Below are 19,626 nucleotides of genomic sequence, written 5' to 3'. Positions count from 1 at the left end.
TTCAGATTTGCAGTATTCTAACAAGGCCCCTGTCTCAGGAACTGTAACTTTGTCTTTTTTTTCTGGTGTCTCCCAGCTGTATCTGCCACAGAGGTCTCTGTGAGTTAAGAGTTGGTAGTGCCACTTTGGGAGGCTGAGGCGGGCAGATCACAAGGTCAAGAGATCAAGACCACCCTGGCCAACATGGTGATACCCCGTCTCTACTAAAAATACAAAAATTAGCTGGATGTGGTGGCAGGCACCTGTAGTCCCAGCTGCTCGGGAGGCTGAGGCAGGAGAATCGCTTGAACCCAGGAGGCGGAGGTTGCAGTGATCCGAGATTGCGCCGCTGCACTCCAGCCTGGCAACAGAGTGAGACTCCGTCCCAACAAAATAAAACAGTTGGTAGTGCTGTTGTTTGAAGATTAGACAGATGGAAAATTGCTTGAAAATTTTTTAAAAGGCATAAACTTAGGCTTGCATAATGACTGTACCTTATTTTCAATATGCATGTTTTAACTTTTTAAAAGAAAATCTTGTTGACCAGTACTAATACCAGGAGTTCTACTTTTAAAAAATGAATATTTAGGATGATCTAATGTATTAACACCAATTTCATAGTACTAGAAGGTATCAACTTTAATGTGAATATTTATGGGGCCAATAGATTAGTTAAAGGGTCTCTGTTTGAAGTAGTAGAAGATCCTGATTTAGAATCATTTGGTAGTGTTGTATAAAAAGTCAGATATAACCCCTCTCCCCTTCAAATCTGGGCTTTTCCTCATTTTCCCTTTCCCTTCCTTCTAGTTTTCCCCTTCCCCAAAGCTGCTAGAGAGCAAATTATAGTTCCTTTCCAAAGCGTTTACTCATCACTGCGTAACACATAGTATGCTCGTTGATGAATATTCAGTTCTCTTCAGGTGGTTCATGAATTGCCCTTTCCGAAAATCTATATTTGATAATGATCGAGTCAGTAATAAAGATGAAATTAAATATATTTTATTGTTGCCTCAAGTTACAACCATGTGGCAATAGTGTGCCCCCTCTTTCATAATGTTACATTCCTTGCTCTATGGTCTGAATGTTTGTGTTCCCCCAGTTTGTTGAACTCTCAACTCCCAAAGTCATGGTATTAGGAGGTAGGGCTTTGGGAGGTGATTAGGTCATGGAATTGGCATCCTCATGAATGAGATTAGTGCCCTTATGTAAGAGATCCCAGAGCATGATGAGAAGATACTGTCTGTGAACCAGAGAGCCCTCTCTAGACATTGAACCTGCCTTGATCTTAGACTCCCCAGCCTCTAGGACTGTGAGAAATAAATTTCTGTTGTTTATAAGCCACCATTTATGGTATTTTGTTATAGCAACCCAAATGGAGTAAGACGTTTATAATTATAGTACCTTACCTTTTGTCAGCAGTACATCTCCCCTCTGGTTCTGAGTGTCAGGGCTGACAGGGAAGGTAGGGGAGAAGAGAATGAAGAGAAGATTATCCGTGTAATCTCATTTAATCCTCAGACAAGCTTAGATAGATAACATTATTCTTATTTGATGAATACAGAAATGGATTAATTAATTTGCCCAGGGTCACATAGCTAGTGTAGATTGAACATCTGTGATCCAAAATGCTCCAAAATCTGGAATTTTTGAATGATAACAGGATGATCAAAGGAAATGTTCTTTGGAACATTTCAGATTTGAGATTTGGATGCTTGACTGGTGAGTATAATGCAGATATTCCAAAATTTGAAATTGGAAACCCTTCTGGTCCCAAGCATTTTAGATAAGAGATACTCAACCTAGAGTACATTCAGGATTTGAACCAAGACCTAACCGTAGAGTCAGTGTTTTTTCCAATACACTGACTATGCTGGGAATATAGGGTCTGGAATTATCATTAGGGCTAAGCCTGGAATAAATTACAGGACATTCTTTGTCTTCTTCTATCCTGTGCTTCCCCAGTATTCCTATCCAGTTTAAATAGGATTAATGTGAACATCAAAGATCATCTTAACAGGAAAAATAAGAAAGCATTTTTATTTTTTAGGCTGTTGTGGGAAGGCGAAGCTAGAGGAAGGTAGGATGAAAGAAAGGAGAGGTAGCCCTTCTACTTTGTTTTGGGGTGGGTTTGGAGGCAAAGGGAAATTGACTGTCATGTGGGTGGACGTACATGTGAACCTTAAAGAACTTTTAGCTTCAGTCAAAAAAGACTTCAGTAAGCCATCTTCTTGGGTCCAGGCCAGCTACCAGGGAAGTAGTCTACTTGAGGGACTAGAAAAACCAGAAAAGTTTCTAGGAGAGTCATATCAAATTCCAGAAAAAATTAAATGGGAAAAAGCTGCTGGATGAAGGAAAAGATGAAGCTCTATGAACATTGGCATAAGAATTGGGTTCATGCTAGGCGCGGTGGCTCACACCTGTAATCCTAGCTCTTAGGGAGGTAGAGGCGGGAGGATAGCTTGAGCCCAGGAGTTCACGACCTGCCTGGGCAATATAGCGAGACCCCATTTTCCACAGAAAGGGGGGGAAAGACAATAAAAAGTGTAAGAATTGGGTTCATGAGGCCCCCTTTCCTCAAGTGGGGTGATAGGGGATACTCAGTTCAGCAGTTACTTATTGTGTTGCTAAAAAGTGTCAGGCCAATTGCAAGAGACTCTGTACAGCTAAAAGAATTAAGGCCGTGGGAAATTAACAAGATGATAAGGACAGAGTGAGGATGGATAACTAGTATTCAGTGGCACAAGGGTCATAAGGGAGGCAGCAGTTGGAGTGGAGAAAGACTGACCTAGGTTGTATTCTGGCCCATCAGTAGGATGCTTTGTGACCCTGAGCAATTTATCTTATGACTCTGGGACTTTCCTCATCTATAAAATGGACACCTTGGAGGGATATTGTACCTTGCAGGAATATTGCAAAAACAGGAAATGTATGTAAAATGCTTGACAAGTAGACTTTAATAATTTGATTGCTCTTAAGTGCCGTGAGGTGCAGATGAGGAAAAGGAAGAATCTGGTTGGGAAGGTTAAATTGGAAAAGGCTTTATTTTGGGTTGATTGGAGTCTCAGAGAATGGCTAGTATTATGCGAGCGTGTGCAGTAAAGAACAAGCGCCAGTGCCTGATCCTGCTTTCTTCCTAGTGGGAACAAGAGCTAGGCGTCTCTCACCCTTCTGCAGCTGGTCTGGGGCTGATGTCAGAGCCCAGAGAACAGAACTAATTTCAAATAAGCAGCAAGTTCATGAGTCAAGTGGTTAGGCAGAAGATGAGGGCCAAAACCAGGGCAGAAGAATTGGCGCCCAGGTCAGGCATCCAGCTGGCTGGAATCCAAGGGAGTCCTGGGTGGCAGTCTCAGTGGAAGAGCCAGGGAGGACAGGGCAGGAGTGGTCGGATCTGTGAGCTCCTCCAGACTACTTTCCACTTAGTGAATCGGGTAGGAGGCTGCGTATCCTAGGTGAGTTTGAGGTCCCCACAGAGAATGGACCAAGTAATCATTGTCACCAAAGAGGGATCCTTCCTGGTGGTAGGTGCGATGGATAAGTGAGGGGTACCAGCAACCACCTGTCATAGGCTGACGGCCCAGATGATAAGTTCCCCACTGTGAACTTGCTTTTAGTCAGAGAAAAATCAGCTCTGTGAATCTCCTAGGGTCTGCATATTTAACTAATTTGGGATGTTTCCTATTAATGCCTATTTTTCGAAATGCAAAAAAATACAAGTAAAAATTTACCTGTAATGTCAGCATCCAGCTGTAACCACTGTTAATATTCTTGGTGTGTTCCTTACAGACTTTTGTCTATTCCAGTGCATATTGATATACATACTCATGTTCATTTAAATAAAATGGGATTAGACAATGCTTGATGTTTTATGATATATTTTCTCATAAAAATTTAAGCTGTCTTACAAAATTTAATGTGTCAATGCCTGTTTATATTTTATACCATTTTAATGGATGCATAGTACTTCATTGTATGAATTTCCCCACTGTGAAACTTTACTCTTCATCTAATTTTTTGGTGTAAGTTTTTTTACTGAGTAGAGTGTTTACACTAAAACCCTCCCTTCCTCCATCTCTGATAGTGGCTTTCTGTTTTGCAGCATTGCTGGGAGCCTGGTATATTCCTATATCACTTTCACTGAAGAGCAGCTGAGCAAACAGTCAGAGGCTAATAACAAGCTGGACATTAAGGGGAAAGGAGCAGTGTGACCAGAGGATTGCTTCATCTGATACGTAGGCCTAAGTTTTTAATCAACTCAGAACACTGGCAGTTCCTACAGAGACACTGAGGTGTCTTGATTATGGAGGAAATAACCATTCCTTTGCACTTGTACAATCTGAGGATTGATTGCTGCCTTTTAAAATTTTATGAAGAGAGAAACTTATAATTGACTCTATTTTAAATATGTTGTTTGAATTAATTTATATCAGACTGGAAAAGGTACTGGGCTTTTTAATTTATTTTTCTTATATGCCGACAGTGAAACATCAGTGTTTTGAAAGTATTTTATTTCATAATTTGATATCCAGGTGTCCCTGAGAGCTGCATATGTAATGTTTGCCAACTGGAGCTTCATCATTCAAATTGTTGCTGCATCTGGAGGCAGTTTAGCCTTTCCTCTGCTGGAAATGCAGACGAATATGTGAAATTTCTCTTCTTTGAATCTTATTTCTTATGATTGCATTGTCTTCATCATATCATCATTCCATTTGCCAAGGAAAACAACTTTGGCACTATAAAAATATGTGGGGCTTTGAAGTGTATTGCTATCTATGTTGGCTTCCCTGACTTTCATAGGATGAGCAGAGTGCATTCCTTGAAAACATGTTCTTTTTTTGTTGTGTAGAATGGGGATAATGAAGGGGGTGAGAAAGTAGGCCTTTTACTAATTTTTCATCTATTTGACTTATTGATTCAACTAAAATGTTTTAAGTATATGTGCCAGGCATTGTGCTAAATGCTGGGGATACAGAGATGTTTGCAGAGGTAGTTGAAACATCTCACTCCTGCCATAGTGACTCAGGTAAGGTTGAGAATTTAGCTCTGTTAATCTATTCAGAAGATGTCACTAAGAGTAAGTTGTTTCAGCACTCAAAAGCCGCAAATCTGTAAATTGGATTAAGAACACCTGCCCTACCTACCCGGCAATAGTGTGAATCCAAATGCTGCAATGTGAGATGAGGTACAAGTAAAGAGCTGTGTTTTGTAAACCAGTGCAGCTCAGCATTGACTCCCTCTCTAAGTGAAAATTGCAGACAGGCAAGTCTGTTTTCCCTTGCCACCTTCCTTTGGGTTTGGTTGCTCTTTGGATGAATATGATGAGGTCCCACATTTCTGAATTTATTGGTTTGAGGGGAAAGGCTGGTTAGACGTCTTTGTATTGTCAATGGTTGGTTTTTCTCTGGCAGTGTCAGTGTTAGAGCTATCATCTTCCTTCTTAAATGGCATGAGCAATGAGCAAACTTCCCTCCTTTCAACATTCTCACCTACATCATGTGCCCCTTGGCTCACCTACTGAGCTTGCCAACTTCTCTCAAAACCAATGCTGCATTTTGGGAGAGCAGCTGTGAATGGGCACTGCCTAAATTGCCTCTTGGGGTAATCTGGAGGGTGGAGGTGTTAACTCAAACATAACCCTATGACTTGACTCAGAGATATCCATTGACTTTGAGGATTAGTGTGTTTGCTCAGGCCAGTTGTACAGCCAGTGTGCAAGAGATTTGGTACCTTTGCACTAATGCACACACCAGTGTCTATTTCATTGGGTTTGGAATCCACTGGACTCTGTTGACCTAAACAGTTAGGGTTTTGATTTTTTTTGATATGCAAATTTATATTGAGATCATTTTCATATTCCTGTCTTTTGGTTTGTCTTTACTAAAGCTTGGCTGGTGGTGCTGTGTCCCTAGAATTATCCCTGCAACCAACTCCCAAGTTACAAGCTTCATTAAGAGCCTTAGACTCACTTTTTTCTAGCATCTTCTGACCTGAGAAAATTCCACTGGGAGTAAAGGATAGTATCTTGTGTCATATGGGTCTTACTCTCCCTATTTTACCAATGAGAAAACAAAACTCAGAGAAAGATGACTTGCTAATACATCAAACCCATGTCCTTTTTATTGAACTATGCTGCCATTTAATTAACCGCCCTTCCCCTCTGAGGGAGTAAGGAAACAGATCCTGAGTTCACTTGAGCACTTTCAAAAAAGCAAGCAGTTGATTGAATTTGGTGTCAGAGAGGAGCATACTTTGCAAATCAGGAAGAGTGACAGCTTACCCTGTCCTGGAACCCTTATCCCACTTCCAGGCTGACTTTAGTTGATAATGCACTTCTGGCTGTAAATGTTGCCAACACTTCCTGGTTTTGCTTAGGTACAGTGAAAGGGCATAGTGAGAGCTATTTTTAGTGATTCTGTTCTTTCTGTCAGCAACATGAAGGAGGGACGTTTGAATAATTTTTGTTGTAGAATATTTCTTCATGAAAGGCTTTTGGGTGTCTTTAACAGGTGTTGGGCTAGAGCCCCACCAGGAGTTGAACTGCCTCTTGGGGGTCAGGTTCCCTAGGAGATCTGTCACCTCTTCAGGAGTATTTGAGAACATTGTGTAGTTACAGCTTCACTAAATGCACGTGACAGGCTTCTGTGCCTTGGGAGCCCTGGCTTATGCTGAAACTTCTGGCTGACCAGAGCAGTACAGCAACTTTGCCCTGTCTGTGTTCTGCTTCCTGGATGCATCCTTCAGCCACTAACCAGCATTGCAAGATGGAGCAGGGTGAACAAGCTGGAGACTGAATAGTCTTTTGGAGTTTGCGTTTTGATTATTGCAGGCGTGTTACAATATACTGGTGATTTACCTGGTACTGTGGCACCTCCCAGAAAGTCTGGTTTTTGCCCCATGTTTGATATTTACTAGGCAGAAATTCTTTGTCCTGTTAACTGCCTCCTGGGAGAAAAAGAGGCAATACAGAGTTAAATCCTTAATTTGCCCACTGAGACAGATGAGCTGTGGTATTCCAAAAGACAAATTCTATGACTAGTGTCTCCTGTTCAATGTAAGTGAGACCCTCTTTGGCCAATCTGCTTCTAGTCAAGGCTAAATGGATTGGAATAACCCTAGTTGGCCAGGCTACACATTGCCAGCATGTCCCGTTGAGTTTTAATTGCCTCATGTGGCTGTGGACTTTATGAGTCAATCATTTGTAGGCTCCAGTTTGCACCTAGTTTTTTTTTTTAAAAAGTGCATTTACACGCTTTTGGTAGTCCTGTTTTATCAAGAATCCATGGAGGGTTTTGGTCAGTACAGCTGGTGCAGGATCCTCACGGAGAAACAGTGGAGTTTCACATTGAGTTGGTTTGAAATGGCACCCCAGGACTTTGGGCCTGCCTTACTTGATAGCCTCGTTCAGTGAGCAAAGACTTAGTGAGCAGCTCTTGTATGCCAAGTATTTTGCTAAGCTCTGGAAAAAAGATAAACAAGACATGGTTCTTGCTTTCAAGGAGTGTGTAATTCTTTAGCCAGATATGGAAACCTGGACCCTGAGTGGGAGAAAGGAGACAGATGAAAGGAGTCCGTGATTTTGTAACCAAGAGCTGCCTGCATGGTTATGAGTATCACTGATTTTAGGGACGCCCCACAGAGCTAAAGCATTTTTTTAATCCGAGAGGACTTTTGTAACTCATATTAGTTAATCTTCTAGCTCTGAGATAGCAACACAGCTCTTAGAATTCTGTAAGTAGCTTGAGGCCTCCTCCTCTACTGTACATGTTCTTGCTTTCCCAAAATTGTAAGTTTGGTTTTTCCTATGAACAAGACTGTAATTGATTTTTCTCTCCCTGAGGAAAAAAGTTCGGAATAAATGAGACATGGATATGAAACTACTTAGCACAATGCCTGGTACATATTAGGCCCTCAGCAAATGTGGCTACCGTGTCATTATTTCATGGTGAGACTCAAGGCAAAACAAGATTCTTAATTTATGCTCCGTAAATGCTAGAGGCTTGGGCAATACGGTCTGTCCTGAAAAACAGGACTCTGTGTCTCATTGCCTCTAGAATCCTTAGGTAGCAGTTTCTGTTCACTGTCTTTTCTTTTTTAAAAATATCTGCTGGACACAATTACGGCCATTACATGATGCAGGTGATTCTACCTATTTTTTAAAAAGAACAAAATTTCTTTTATATTGTGACAGTACATTTTAATAAAGGAAAATTATTTTCTTCCCCCTACTCCCCCTCCTTTTTTTTAAAAAAAAAAAAAAAAAAGAAAGAAGGTCTTGCTCTGTCGCCAGCCAGGCTGGAGTGTAATGGCGTAATCATAGCAGCTCACCACAGTCTCAAACTCCTAGGCTCAAGTGATCCTCCTGCCTTAGCCTGCTAAGTAGCTACGACTATAGGCATGTGCCATTACGCCTGGCTCGTTTCTTCCTTTTTTTTTTTTTTTCTGGTAAAGACAGGGTCTCACTCTGTTGCCAGACTGGTCTCAAACTCCTGGCCTCAAGTAACCCTTCTGTCTCAGCCTCCCAAAGTGCTGGGATTACAGGTGTGTGCCACATGTCCGGCCAGGAAAATTATTTTCTATCTTAAAGAAACATAGTTACATTTTAGAATGTCAATTCAGTTAAATCTTTCTCAGTTTTTACCTTTAGATGGCTCCTGGAAAGGCCAGCGTTCCTTTTCCCCTCTCTGAATTGAAAGCACTTGACCCCATGCTGCCCCTGCTTCCAGGCCTGTCTCAGTTGTCATATATTGTGAGTCCCTGGCACCATTACTGTTTTCTAAGCCAGTCTTCTAGGTCTTACTTTCAGGATGCTGCTTCATGGCATGAGGATATAGTTTACAGTGTTGTAGTTTTTTTTTTTTTAAAGCTTTGTTCTTTAAAAATACTTTTTAAAAAGAAATCTACTGGTTAGATTTATTGTCTCACAAAAATGTTTTTAGAGATTATTTTTTTCACAAATGTTTTCTTTCTCATGCTGATGATCAACTGATTTTTGTCTACAGGTGTTAGCTTCTCACAGTATTTTTTCATTTTAGAGTCTATTTACCAAATGACCATTTTTAGTGTTAAAAGGTACTGAGGAATTGAGGTATGTAAATCAGGTGACATAAACATGAAAATTATGTGCCTAAATATTTTTGTAATGGTGTAAAATAAATACTTTTTCCTGAAAACAAGTATTAAAATTCCTTTGTAACTGCATACAGAGACTAATCCAGAGCCAGAAGTCTGCCCATATTTTAGAGGTTGGCATCCTGTTAGGTGATTGAGACTCCATATGTAGAAAATACTGTTTTATATACAAATGCTTTTATGAATAGTATGTATGACTGAATATCCAGTGTCTTGTGGCATACTTGTGGTAAATTAGAAGGAAGGAAGTGCTAATCTTTCTGTTTTCAGGGTATTTCAACTGCATTATCAGGTTTCCAAGCTCCTGAGTAGCTTTACTCATCAAGTAGAGGCATTTTGGTACAAGCAGACTCAGCAGAGGTGGAAGCACATTAAGGTGTGTCAGAGGGAGAAGCATATTAAACCTTTTTTAAAGAAAAAGATTGTGGTAAAATACACATAAAATATACCATCTTAGACATTTTTAAGCATACAGTTTAGTAGTGTTACATATATTCACATTGTTGTTCAACCAATCTCCAGAACATTTCCTTGCAAAATTAAAACTCCATACCCATTAAACAGAAACTCACCATTTTCCCCTCACCTCAGTCATCGATAACCACCATTCTTTATGTTTCTATGAATTTGACTACACTAGGTATTTTATATAAGTGGAATCGTACCATATTTGTCTTTTTGTGGCTGGCTTATTTCACATAGCATAACGCCCTTGATGTTATTCCATGTTGTGTAACATATGTCAGAATTTCCTTCCTTCTTAAGTCTGAATAATATTCCATTGTATGTGTACCATTTTGTTTATCCAGCCTTTGGTTGATGGGTACTTGGGTTGCTTCTACCTCTTGGCTATTGTGAATAATCCTGCTATGAACATGGGTGTACAAATACTTTTCAAGATCCCACTTTTTTGTGTGTGTTTTTTTAGACGGAGTTTCACTCTTGTTGCCCAGGCTGGAGTGCAGTGGCACCATCTTGGCTCACTGCAACCTCTATCTACTTCCCGGGTTCAAGCGATTCTCCTGCCTTAGCCTCTGGAGTGACTGGGATTACAGGCATGCACCACCACGCCCATCTAATTTTTATATTTTTAGTAGAGACGGGTTTTCATCATGTTGGTCAGGCTGGTCTCGAACTCCTGACCTCAGGTGATCCACCTGCCTCCGACTCCCAAAGTGTTGGAATTACAGGCATGAGCCACTGTGCCCAGCCAAGATCCCACTTACTTTTCTTTTGGGTATATACTCAGAAGTGAAATTGCTGTATCATATGGTAATTCTAATTTTTTTGAGAAACCACTAGACTTTTCCATTATGGCTGGCCCATTTTAGAATCCCACCAAGAGTGCACAAGGGTTCCAGTTTCTCCACATCCTCACCAACACTTGTTATTTTCTGTTTTTCAGATTGTAGCCGTCCTAATGGATGTGATATGATAATCTTGTTCTGGTTTTGATTTGTATTTTCCTAATGATTAGTGATGTTGAGCATCTTTTCATATGCTTGAGGTGATGTTTAGTTGTAAGAATTCTTTATATTCTGGATTTTAACCCCCTTAGATATATATGTCTAAGGAGATATATATATATTTTTTTAACAGTAACATATAATATATAAATAACAATATTTATATTATTAAATTAATATATATATTTAAGGATATATATATATTTAACAGCTTTCCTCCTGTTTTCTAAGAATTTTGTAATTTTATGTCTTTAGATCTTGAATATATTTTTGATTTCTGTATATGTTGTAAATACATATTTAACCCCTTTAGATATAGGGTATCTGCATATATATACAGATACATCTTTATACATCTCTATATCTGTGTGTGTATATATATACACACACAGATATATCTATATCTAAAGGGGTTATATATATATATATATATTTTTTTTTTTTTTTTTTAACACAGGGTCTCACTCTGTCACCCAGGCTGGAGTGCAGTGGCATGATCACAGCTCACTGCAGCCTCAATTTCCTGGGCTCAAGAAATTCTCCTACCCTAGCCTCCTGAGTAGCGGAGTAGAGGTGCATACCACCACACCCAGCTAATTTTTTTGTAGAGACGGGGTTTTGCTATTGCTGTCCAGGCTGGTCTCAAACTCCTGGGCTCAAGCAATCTGCCTGCCTGGGTCTCCCAAAATGCTAAGATTCCAGGTGTAAGGTGCTGTGCCCAGCCCCTTTATCAGATATGTTATTTGCAAATACTTTCTGTCATTCCACAGGTTACCTTTTCACTCCTTTGATTATATCCATTGACTTTGATGCACAGCAAAGTTCTAAATTTGTATGTAGTCCAGTTATTTACTTCTACTCTTGTTGCCTGTGCTTTTGGTGGCATATCCAAGATATGCTGCCAAATCCAATGTGAGTTTTATAATTTTACGTCTTAAATTTAGATCTTGAATACATTTTGAGTGAATTTCTGTATATGTTGTAAAGTAAGGGTCCAACTTCATTCTTTTGCATGTGGATATTTCATTTTCCCAACACCATTTGTTGAAGAGATTGTCCTTAACACATGTGTTTTAATCAACTTTAAAAAACCCTCTTAGAGTCTGATTTTTTTCTAATTTGTTGAAGTTAGAATTCATCTTTTTGATAGCTTCTTGTCTCACTTGGCTTCCTTGAAGCATAGGCTGTCAGTATTGGGCAACGCTATAGATGATGCACTGCTCAGAGGAGAAAGCACAGAGCTAGTGCCATTGTGTACCCACAGTGGGTCAGCATTTACCAGGTAACTTCAATTCTTCTTTCCTACAGTTCTCATCACTTGGGGCCTATGTATACATTGGTTCATCCATCCATCAAGCCAGACTGAGTTCACTGGGGCCAGCACCCATCCTCTACTAGAGGCCTGGCATCTACAGGTGAAGCTCAGAGAGGCACACTTGCCCGGTGTGGTCAGGGAACCCGCATTCAAACCCCCATCAGTCTGACTTCAAACACCCTTGCTCTTCGCCACCATGCTAGGTTCTCGTTTCTCTTAAGTCTGTCTGTAATAGACTTGGCAGTACCAAACTCATCACCGCTCTATACTTGTCAAATGTTATTTTTCATTCATTGTTCACCCACTGTGGATTTAAAGCTTAAGCATGAGATGGTGGCTGGTTTAATCTGAGAAGGCAAAGCAGCTATGCTTTTCCAGCTGTGCTAAAAGTGCCCTCTTGTGGCAACACCTGCTTTTGGCAGCTAAATGATGGAAAGCAGTTTAAGAGGAAGGAAAAGCAGTATTTACTGAGGGCCGACTATGTGTTTTCACTGGGTTCGGGCTAAAATGTGCCTTCTCATATTTGGTCCTTCCAGCACTTTACTGGTGCATAAATGGTGGCTTTAGCCAGGCTAAGGAATTTGTCCAACTTCACTCACATGAGAAATGTAAACCTGGACTTTGATTTCAAAACCCCTTTCTTTCTGAAGAATATATTTCATATACCATCCCTCGTTGTTAGAGAAAGAAATAGGAGGGTTTCATCAAGAGTGCTTTATCATATCTGCCTATTTATCCTTCAGATAATTTTTTTCGGTGAATATTTTTGAGGACAATGTTCACAAATGATGACAGAATTATGAAAGTATAGCTGAGATATGCATATGAATGTATGGGAGGAGGAATTTCATTCCACCTGGGAATGGTAGGAAAGGTTTCCTTGGAGAAATGGCATTTGAGCTGATTCCTGAAAAACAACTAGGATTTGCCTGAGAAAATACTGGCGGGGACAGCCCACCCACCTTCTAGGGCCTCTGTCCCACTCCTTGATTGGAGTGCATCTTTCGTTATAGTACGTCCCCTCATCTCTGTGGGTCTTCCTTGACCAGCCTATCTGAAATAGGCTCCCCTGCCCTCACCACACCATGTTCTCTTCTCTCCCTTATTTCATCCCCATAGCACTTCAAGCTCTATGAAGACAGAGGTTTTGGTCTGTTTTTTTTTTTTTTTTTTTTTTTTTTTTTTTTTTTTTTTTTTTTTTTTTAGCGTAGCAGGGCAGAAGCATGGCCTCATTTGCGTTTTAGAAAGATCACACCAGCTGCAGTATTTGGATTGTATACTGTAGGTCAGAGGTTGGCAAATTCAGATGTCTCACAGGGGCCAGGTGTGAATGCCTAGAGTGAATGGTGGGGCTTGGGGTACATACCTGCTCAAAGGCATTGAAATAAAACAAAAAATCTGCCAGCTAGACTTAGCCCACTGGCTACCAGCGTGACTAAGTTGAACTACTACAGATGAGATTTGCACTATGACAGGATCACTGGGATTGCTGCGTGGATGACTGTCAGGTGGGGATCACGGAAGGGCAGAACTGGAGGTGAATGCATCAGATAGAGCAGGCTGTTGTGCTAGTGAGAATGATGAGGTCCTAAAGTACAGTTGTTTCTTTTTACATAGAAAAGAAAAGGGATTTGAGTTATTTTAGGAATTATAATTAACAGGTGATAAGACTGTTTCTCTTTTTTTTAAAGTTGTTTCTTCTTTTTTTTTTTTTTTCTTTTTTTGCCTAAATGTGTGTCTTCAGGAGACCATTTTAACTTTGGGAACATTTTTTTAATTAAGCATTTTATTTAATTATTTTCAAGAAACCACCTTAAATACTTAATTAAAACTTGAGGCCTATATTGAAAACAGGTTTCCTGATAGTTTCCAGAACATTATTTGAAACACCTGTTTCCTCAACTAAGATTTAAAAATTTAATAATCCACTGTAGGATGCTGAATAGACTTCACCCATTATCACTTTGGATTTTTTTTCTTTTTTTTTTCTTTTTGAGACAGAGTCTCGCTCTGTCGCCCAGGCTGGAGTGCAGTGGCGCGATCTCGGCTCACTGCAACCTCTGCCTCCCGAGTTCAAGTGATTCTCTTGCCTCAGCCTCCCGAGGAGCTGGGGCTACAGGCTTGTGCCACCACGTCTGGCTAGTTTTTGTATTTTTAGTAGAGACAGGGTTTCATCATGTTGGCCAGGCTGGTCTCGAACTCCTGACCTCAAGTGATCACCCGCCTCGGCCTCCCAGACTGCTAGGATTACAGGCATGAGCCACTGTGCCTGGCCTGGATTTCTTAATATCTTATTGTTTTCATCAGCCATCAGAATTATGAGTTCAGCTTCTCTCTGGATCAAACTGGCAGTTCTCAGGGTGCTGCAGCGCTAATAGTGACAAAGTAGACTTAAGATGGCCATGTGACACTGACGGTGAAACTAATCATCTCACCGGAGTCGTCAGGTGAACGGAACCTTTCCCGAAGGGCTCATGGCCCACCTGTGCTAGGGCTGAGAGTCCAGTGCTGGACATGGCCATCCCATGACCTAATGAACATCTAAGCATGCATGCTTGCAAACCTAAATGTTTTTAAAGCTGATTTTGATCTACAAGAATGCTGATTGTCCTGCATTTTAGGTAAGCCAGTAAGTTTTGATCCAATTATTTTCACTTACAAAACATAATGGTGTACTTTCACCTAACCTCAATGCTTTCCGAGTATAAAAGCAGGAGGAACGTCTTTGAGGTGACTAACTTATGTTTCCAAGAGTTTTCCAAAAAGGTAATATTTGAAGTGTAGCAAGAAACAGAGTGCCTGCTATACCACAGTAAAAATACATTTATTGAGCCATTTTTACATGCTACACATTTTTTTTTAGCACCTTGTGTATTGACACATTTTAATCCTCTAAACAATCCTTTAAAGTTAGTCCTAGTGTTGTTTTAGAGGTGAAACAAGCATGGGAAAGTTTCATTGTTGGACAGTGGTATTTGTGAGACAGTCTTTGCTTAGAATATAAATTTGCCTTTCTGTAAAGCCTATCTTTTTCTCTGAGGTCATGGAGCTTCCTAGAACAAGCAGTAAAGTATATGATGTTTGAGGGTGAAAGAAATGTCACAGTACATATTATTTTATATCAAAATATATCTGAGTCCCCATCTTGCCACCTACCGGGAAATTCAGTCCCAGTTCTTTGCTAAGGTTACACAAGATCCAGGAGAATTGCCTGTGCGCAGAAGATACAAGAGGGACTCTTGTCTTCAGTCCATCATGGTCACTGCTGAACTCCTTAGTGACCAACTCTAAGGTGTCCTTTGAAGGCAGATGGTACAACAAATTGCAAACTTTGCCCTGGTAATAGTTTCTACTACTGGAAGTTCCAGTGCGTAGAGTCCAACCTGTTTTGTACTCCATGTAGTTATTCCTCTGATGTCTTTCTAGAGAATGAAGCTCACATTCCTGCCATTCTCAGAGCCTACTAACGTCTTTTTTCCAGCTGGGGGAATTTCTCTTTTCTAGAGTTCAGAGTTGTGGGAAAAAGCTAGGAGAAAGATTGTTTGCAAGCAACATGTTTTCTATTCTACAACACACATCTTCCCTAAACACAAAGACCTGACTTAGAAAAATAGGTAAAATCCAGATCATTGGAAAGAGCAAGTCTTACAACTTCTCAAGGTAGCTCAGTTTTATTTGTAAATTGGGGAAAATAACGTTGTGAAGATTGTTTTATAATTAGTGCTGTGCTTTTAATAGCAATCACTTAACAATGGTAGATAATATTTGCAATAGACTTGTTTTATCTGCCTAATAGTCTTTCTCTGTGACCAGCCTATTTTCCTTTTGAGGGAATGCATCTTCCCCAACTGTTGTAGCCAAATAAACCCAAAGGGTGCTGCCATCTTATGATGAAGACCTACCTGCCTAACCGCAAAGACAAGTTGGGTAAAGCGTAGCTAATAGTATCCTACTTTTCTGGCCATCGGGATTGACTGGACAAGGGTTAAGCCCATGGCTCTAGCCATGAATACGTGTGAGCCATTCAGTGCCATGAAGGAAAAGGATACAGGCATCCGACATTGTCAAAGCAGCTCAGTCTAAAGTTGTTGAACCTCGGACAAGTCATTTTTCCATTTTCTGCCTTGGATTTTCCCTTCTGTAAGACAAGAGGATTGAGTGAGAGATTCCAGAAGGACCGCATCTGGGCTTTGGCAGCCTATTCTCACTCACCGGCTTCATTTATAGGCTTCCGGTTGCTCTGCAGAAGGCTCAGAGTGTGCAAGGTTCTGTTGTTGCTGCTATACAGGTTAGAGTGCACCTGCTAATTTGTCTCTGCCAGTTATGTAGAAAGTAAAGGCAGTTGGGACCAGCTGCCAAGTGAGCACCAGCAAAAATTTGAAAGCCACTACAAGTTTGCAGTTCTGAAATCCACAGGGCTCTGAAAACCAAGCTTTTTCTTGTCGAATTTGGCTACAAAATCTGACCTGAAATTCATGTCAATACATTTTATTGTGGCCATATATCCAGCCATAGGTTTGTTCGAGAATGTGCTGTGATGTGTTTTGAAATACCGCTAGTCACAAGGGTTTTGGATAAGGGATTGTAGACCTGTACTATTACCTACCTGATCATTAGCCAGCACTCTCTAGGGACAAAATATTTTCCCTTTAAGGTATCCCATTTATAATCTCAACAGACCTACTGGCACATTGGTATCATCCTTATTTTACAGATGGCCAGTTTAGAGGTTTTGCTTACCACAGATTATACAGTAACGGCCAGATGAAGAGGAGAAATCTTGAAACGTGGCTGAATTTGGATGAGTGGGTATGGAAAAAGGTGGTATGATATAAAAAAAAAAGCTGTAAATATTTTGATTGGGAGGATTCTGAATAAAATAATATTTTAGGCTATCCCTTGGTTGAAATGGAGGAACAATAGGAGATATAGTTGGAGATAAGGAAATGCAAGGCCAGGTACTGTGGGCTTTCACTCCTCGTTCTGGAATAGTTAGAAGGACTAATAAACATTAATGTGGCTCCAAGCATCAGATGAATCTACTGCTTTCCCCATCGAACTTACAGGATATACCTTGTGAAGACTAGCATGGATATAAATGACAGTGGTTCAGAAACACTTCCTAAGTTTGTCACATAGGTGATGAGTTGACTTTTTGACAAACTTTAGGGATGGAAATAAAGGGCTCTGATACTGCTAGTATTCATGCCACAAAAATGGGACTGTGACTCTCTGTGGAACCCAGAGGGCAACTGGGACTCAGGCTAGCAATGTGGTCACTGACATCTATGTAATTGTTTCTTCTCTTCTCCCCAGCCTCCCCCAAATCAACAGGCTTTAGAGTGGGAGAATGTGTAGGTATAGGATTACACAAGCAATGGGAGATGCTGTTTTCCATAATTTAACCAGGCAACCCTTTGAAGAAAGAAAAGTTTTCAAAAATCCTAGAGTCGGAGCTCCCCCAAAAAGCAAGTAAAATGGTACCCTCTACCAGTGATGCAGTAACTGGATGAAAACACGTTTATACTACTACTCAGATGGAAGTGAAGAATGGCAGCGGTACAAAGGGCAACTCAGGATGTATCCCCAAAGGCAGAATAGAACAATCACTGGAAAGAGTAGCCAGAGTTAGGCCCTAAGCAGGAGAGACAAATGATTATAGGCTATGCTATAACCTATATGCTAATATGTTCAGTGAGTAAGGGAAGAGGCACTGTGCTTGGATGTGGGTGTATGATGGTGAGGAAAACAGACTCGACCCTCCCCTTCAGGAGGCTTACTGTCGGAGGGGGAAATAGTCATGCAAAACCAAATGGCACCTGGGACAAGTGCTATGAGACTTCTTTAATAAGGGGGTCTGGCCACTCTAAGTCCACCACTCAAAAACAACCGTTACTTTTGGCATATGACCTTCATTACTTTTCCTAACTAACTATACATATACACGAAAATAGATCCCTTTGCCAAAACTGGTATCATTGTTTTCAAAGGTTCTACTACAACTCCCATCTGCTGCAATCCTAAGTGAGTTGTTTTATTCTAACCTACTAGCACTAGCTACAAGAATTTTGTGGCCAGGTGTGGTGGTCACACCTGTAATCCCAACACTTTGGGAGGCTGGGGCAGGCGGATTGCTTGAACCCAGGAGTTTGAGACTAGCCCTGGCAACACAGCAAAACCCTGTCTACAAAAAAATAAAAATTAGGGCGTGGTGGCGCACACCTGTCCCAGCCACTTGGGAGGCTGAGGTGGGAGGATTCCCTTCAGTCAGAGAGGTTGAGGCTGCAGTGAGCAGTGATCATACCACTGCACTCCAGCATGGGCAACAGAGCAAGACGTTGTCTCCGGAAAAAAGAAAAATTGCAGATGTAGTCCACGTATGTTCATGGTGTGTTTTTTAAATGCAAACATTTGTCTACTAAACACTAGAGGCAAATGCATAAGACAACAAAGGAGGCCACACAGCAGAGCAGTTCATAAAGCTTATAATTCAGGATGTTTGAAAGCTCAAAACCACCAGCCACCCAAGTAAATTTCTGTCATGTACAAATATGTGCTTAGAGGGGATTAAGGGAGTACCTTTCAAAAATAATAAAAAAGGATACACTTAGAATGACTGGCACCACTATTAGCTCCTAAGCAGAACTAGTTTCTCATGTTCACTCAGCTAAAGCACAGCTGGTGACAAGAGTAGACTAAGGAATTTGAAAAGCCCCTCTTGGGAACAAGCTCTTAACCTAAATCTAGATTTTCTGGTCAAGAATTTAAAGTGGCTCAGATCAATCTATTCTGATGCAGTTCTCTACCTGATCTTGTTTCTGGAAGAAACCACCCCCAATTTAAGGCCCGTATGTTTTCTTTTTAAAAATGTTTAAGCTCAGACATGGTGGCTCACGCCTGTAATCCCAACACTGGGAGGCTGAGGCGGGAGGATCACTCGAGCCCAGGATTTCCAGAGTGGCCGGGGCAACATAGTGAGACCTCACCTCTACAAATAATAAAAAAAATTAGCTGAGCATGGTGGTGCACAACTGTAAACCCAGCCACTCAGGAGGCTGAGGTGGGAGGATTACCTGCGCCCAAGGAGGTCAAGGCTGCAGTGAGCCATGATCTTGCCACTGCACTCCAGCCTACGCAGCCAACTGAGACCGTCTCAAATAATTTTTTAGAAGTTTATATATTCCTCATATTAATCCAAAGTCAATTTCAGGGATCATCTAACTTTGCTGAGTGAAACCATTTATTTTAGAACTACCTGAACTCTACAAATTCCAGTCAGTGTGCAGAACAACACAGCCAGCTCTACATTCAGTCAACCATTCATGTTAACAACGATGAGAATACCAAAAAGTGAATGTTCTATAACCAGGCCAAATTTGCATTAGGCGTCCTCTCTTCCAAACTTCAGAAAATCAGGCGATTCTCCACCTAATAAATAGTAGTGCTCATGGAACAGTGAATGACAAGAAAAAAGGGATGAGTCCTAAATAATCCACAGCTGCTGTTATGGTAGAACCAGCTCTGCAGGAAATTTTTTTTTTAAAAGACAAAATTTCTTAGGGAAAATCATGCATTTCATGTTGGTTAATTTCCAGCAAATACGAAGTTTGACAAAAGAAAAATATTTAGCTAGACTTACATGGCAAAGAGGAAGGTAAACTCATTTTCTTGAGATCGTGCCTATTCCTCTTTTTGCTGTCTCTGTACTCAGAATACACTTTACTTTTCTACCATTAACAC

The 19,626-nt window shown here is 40.7% G+C and overlaps 1 protein-coding gene across 7 annotated transcripts in view, besides 1 other annotated feature; it reads left to right on the top strand.

Annotated features, from left to right (window-relative positions):
• SLC35D1 (solute carrier family 35 member D1) overlaps positions 1–19,626 on the top strand; it is an 81,173-nt gene that overhangs the window by 45,625 nt on the left and 15,922 nt on the right. For 2 of the 7 annotated variants that reach the window (XM_047415660.1, XM_006710478.3), the window contains 2 exons: positions 4,076–4,208; positions 4,506–9,146. In XM_047415660.1, the coding sequence (XP_047271616.1) occupies positions 4,076–4,184 (109 nt within the window). In that variant the 3' untranslated portion in view covers positions 4,185–4,208; positions 4,506–9,146. Of the gene's footprint in view, positions 1–76; positions 9,175–19,626 lie in introns of those variants that run through there. The other 5 variants (XM_047415662.1, XM_047415665.1, NM_015139.3 and 2 more) reach the window with 4 other exon arrangements.
• Positions 7,391–7,591: a silencer, noted in NCBI's record as "peak275 fragment used in MPRA reporter construct". NCBI's record gives its function as "represses an SCP1 promoter by STARR-seq MPRAs in K562 erythroleukemia cells {active_cell/tissue: K562}" and the evidence as "EXISTENCE:reporter gene assay evidence [ECO:0000049][PMID:32103011]".

This window comes from Homo sapiens, chromosome 1 (genome assembly GCF_000001405.40).
Source record: "Homo sapiens chromosome 1, GRCh38.p14 Primary Assembly".
In the NCBI taxonomy this organism is placed as follows: domain Eukaryota; kingdom Metazoa; phylum Chordata; class Mammalia; order Primates; family Hominidae; genus Homo; species Homo sapiens.
Note: the sequence above shows the minus strand (reverse complement) of the source record. Positions and strands in the feature narration are given on the sequence as shown.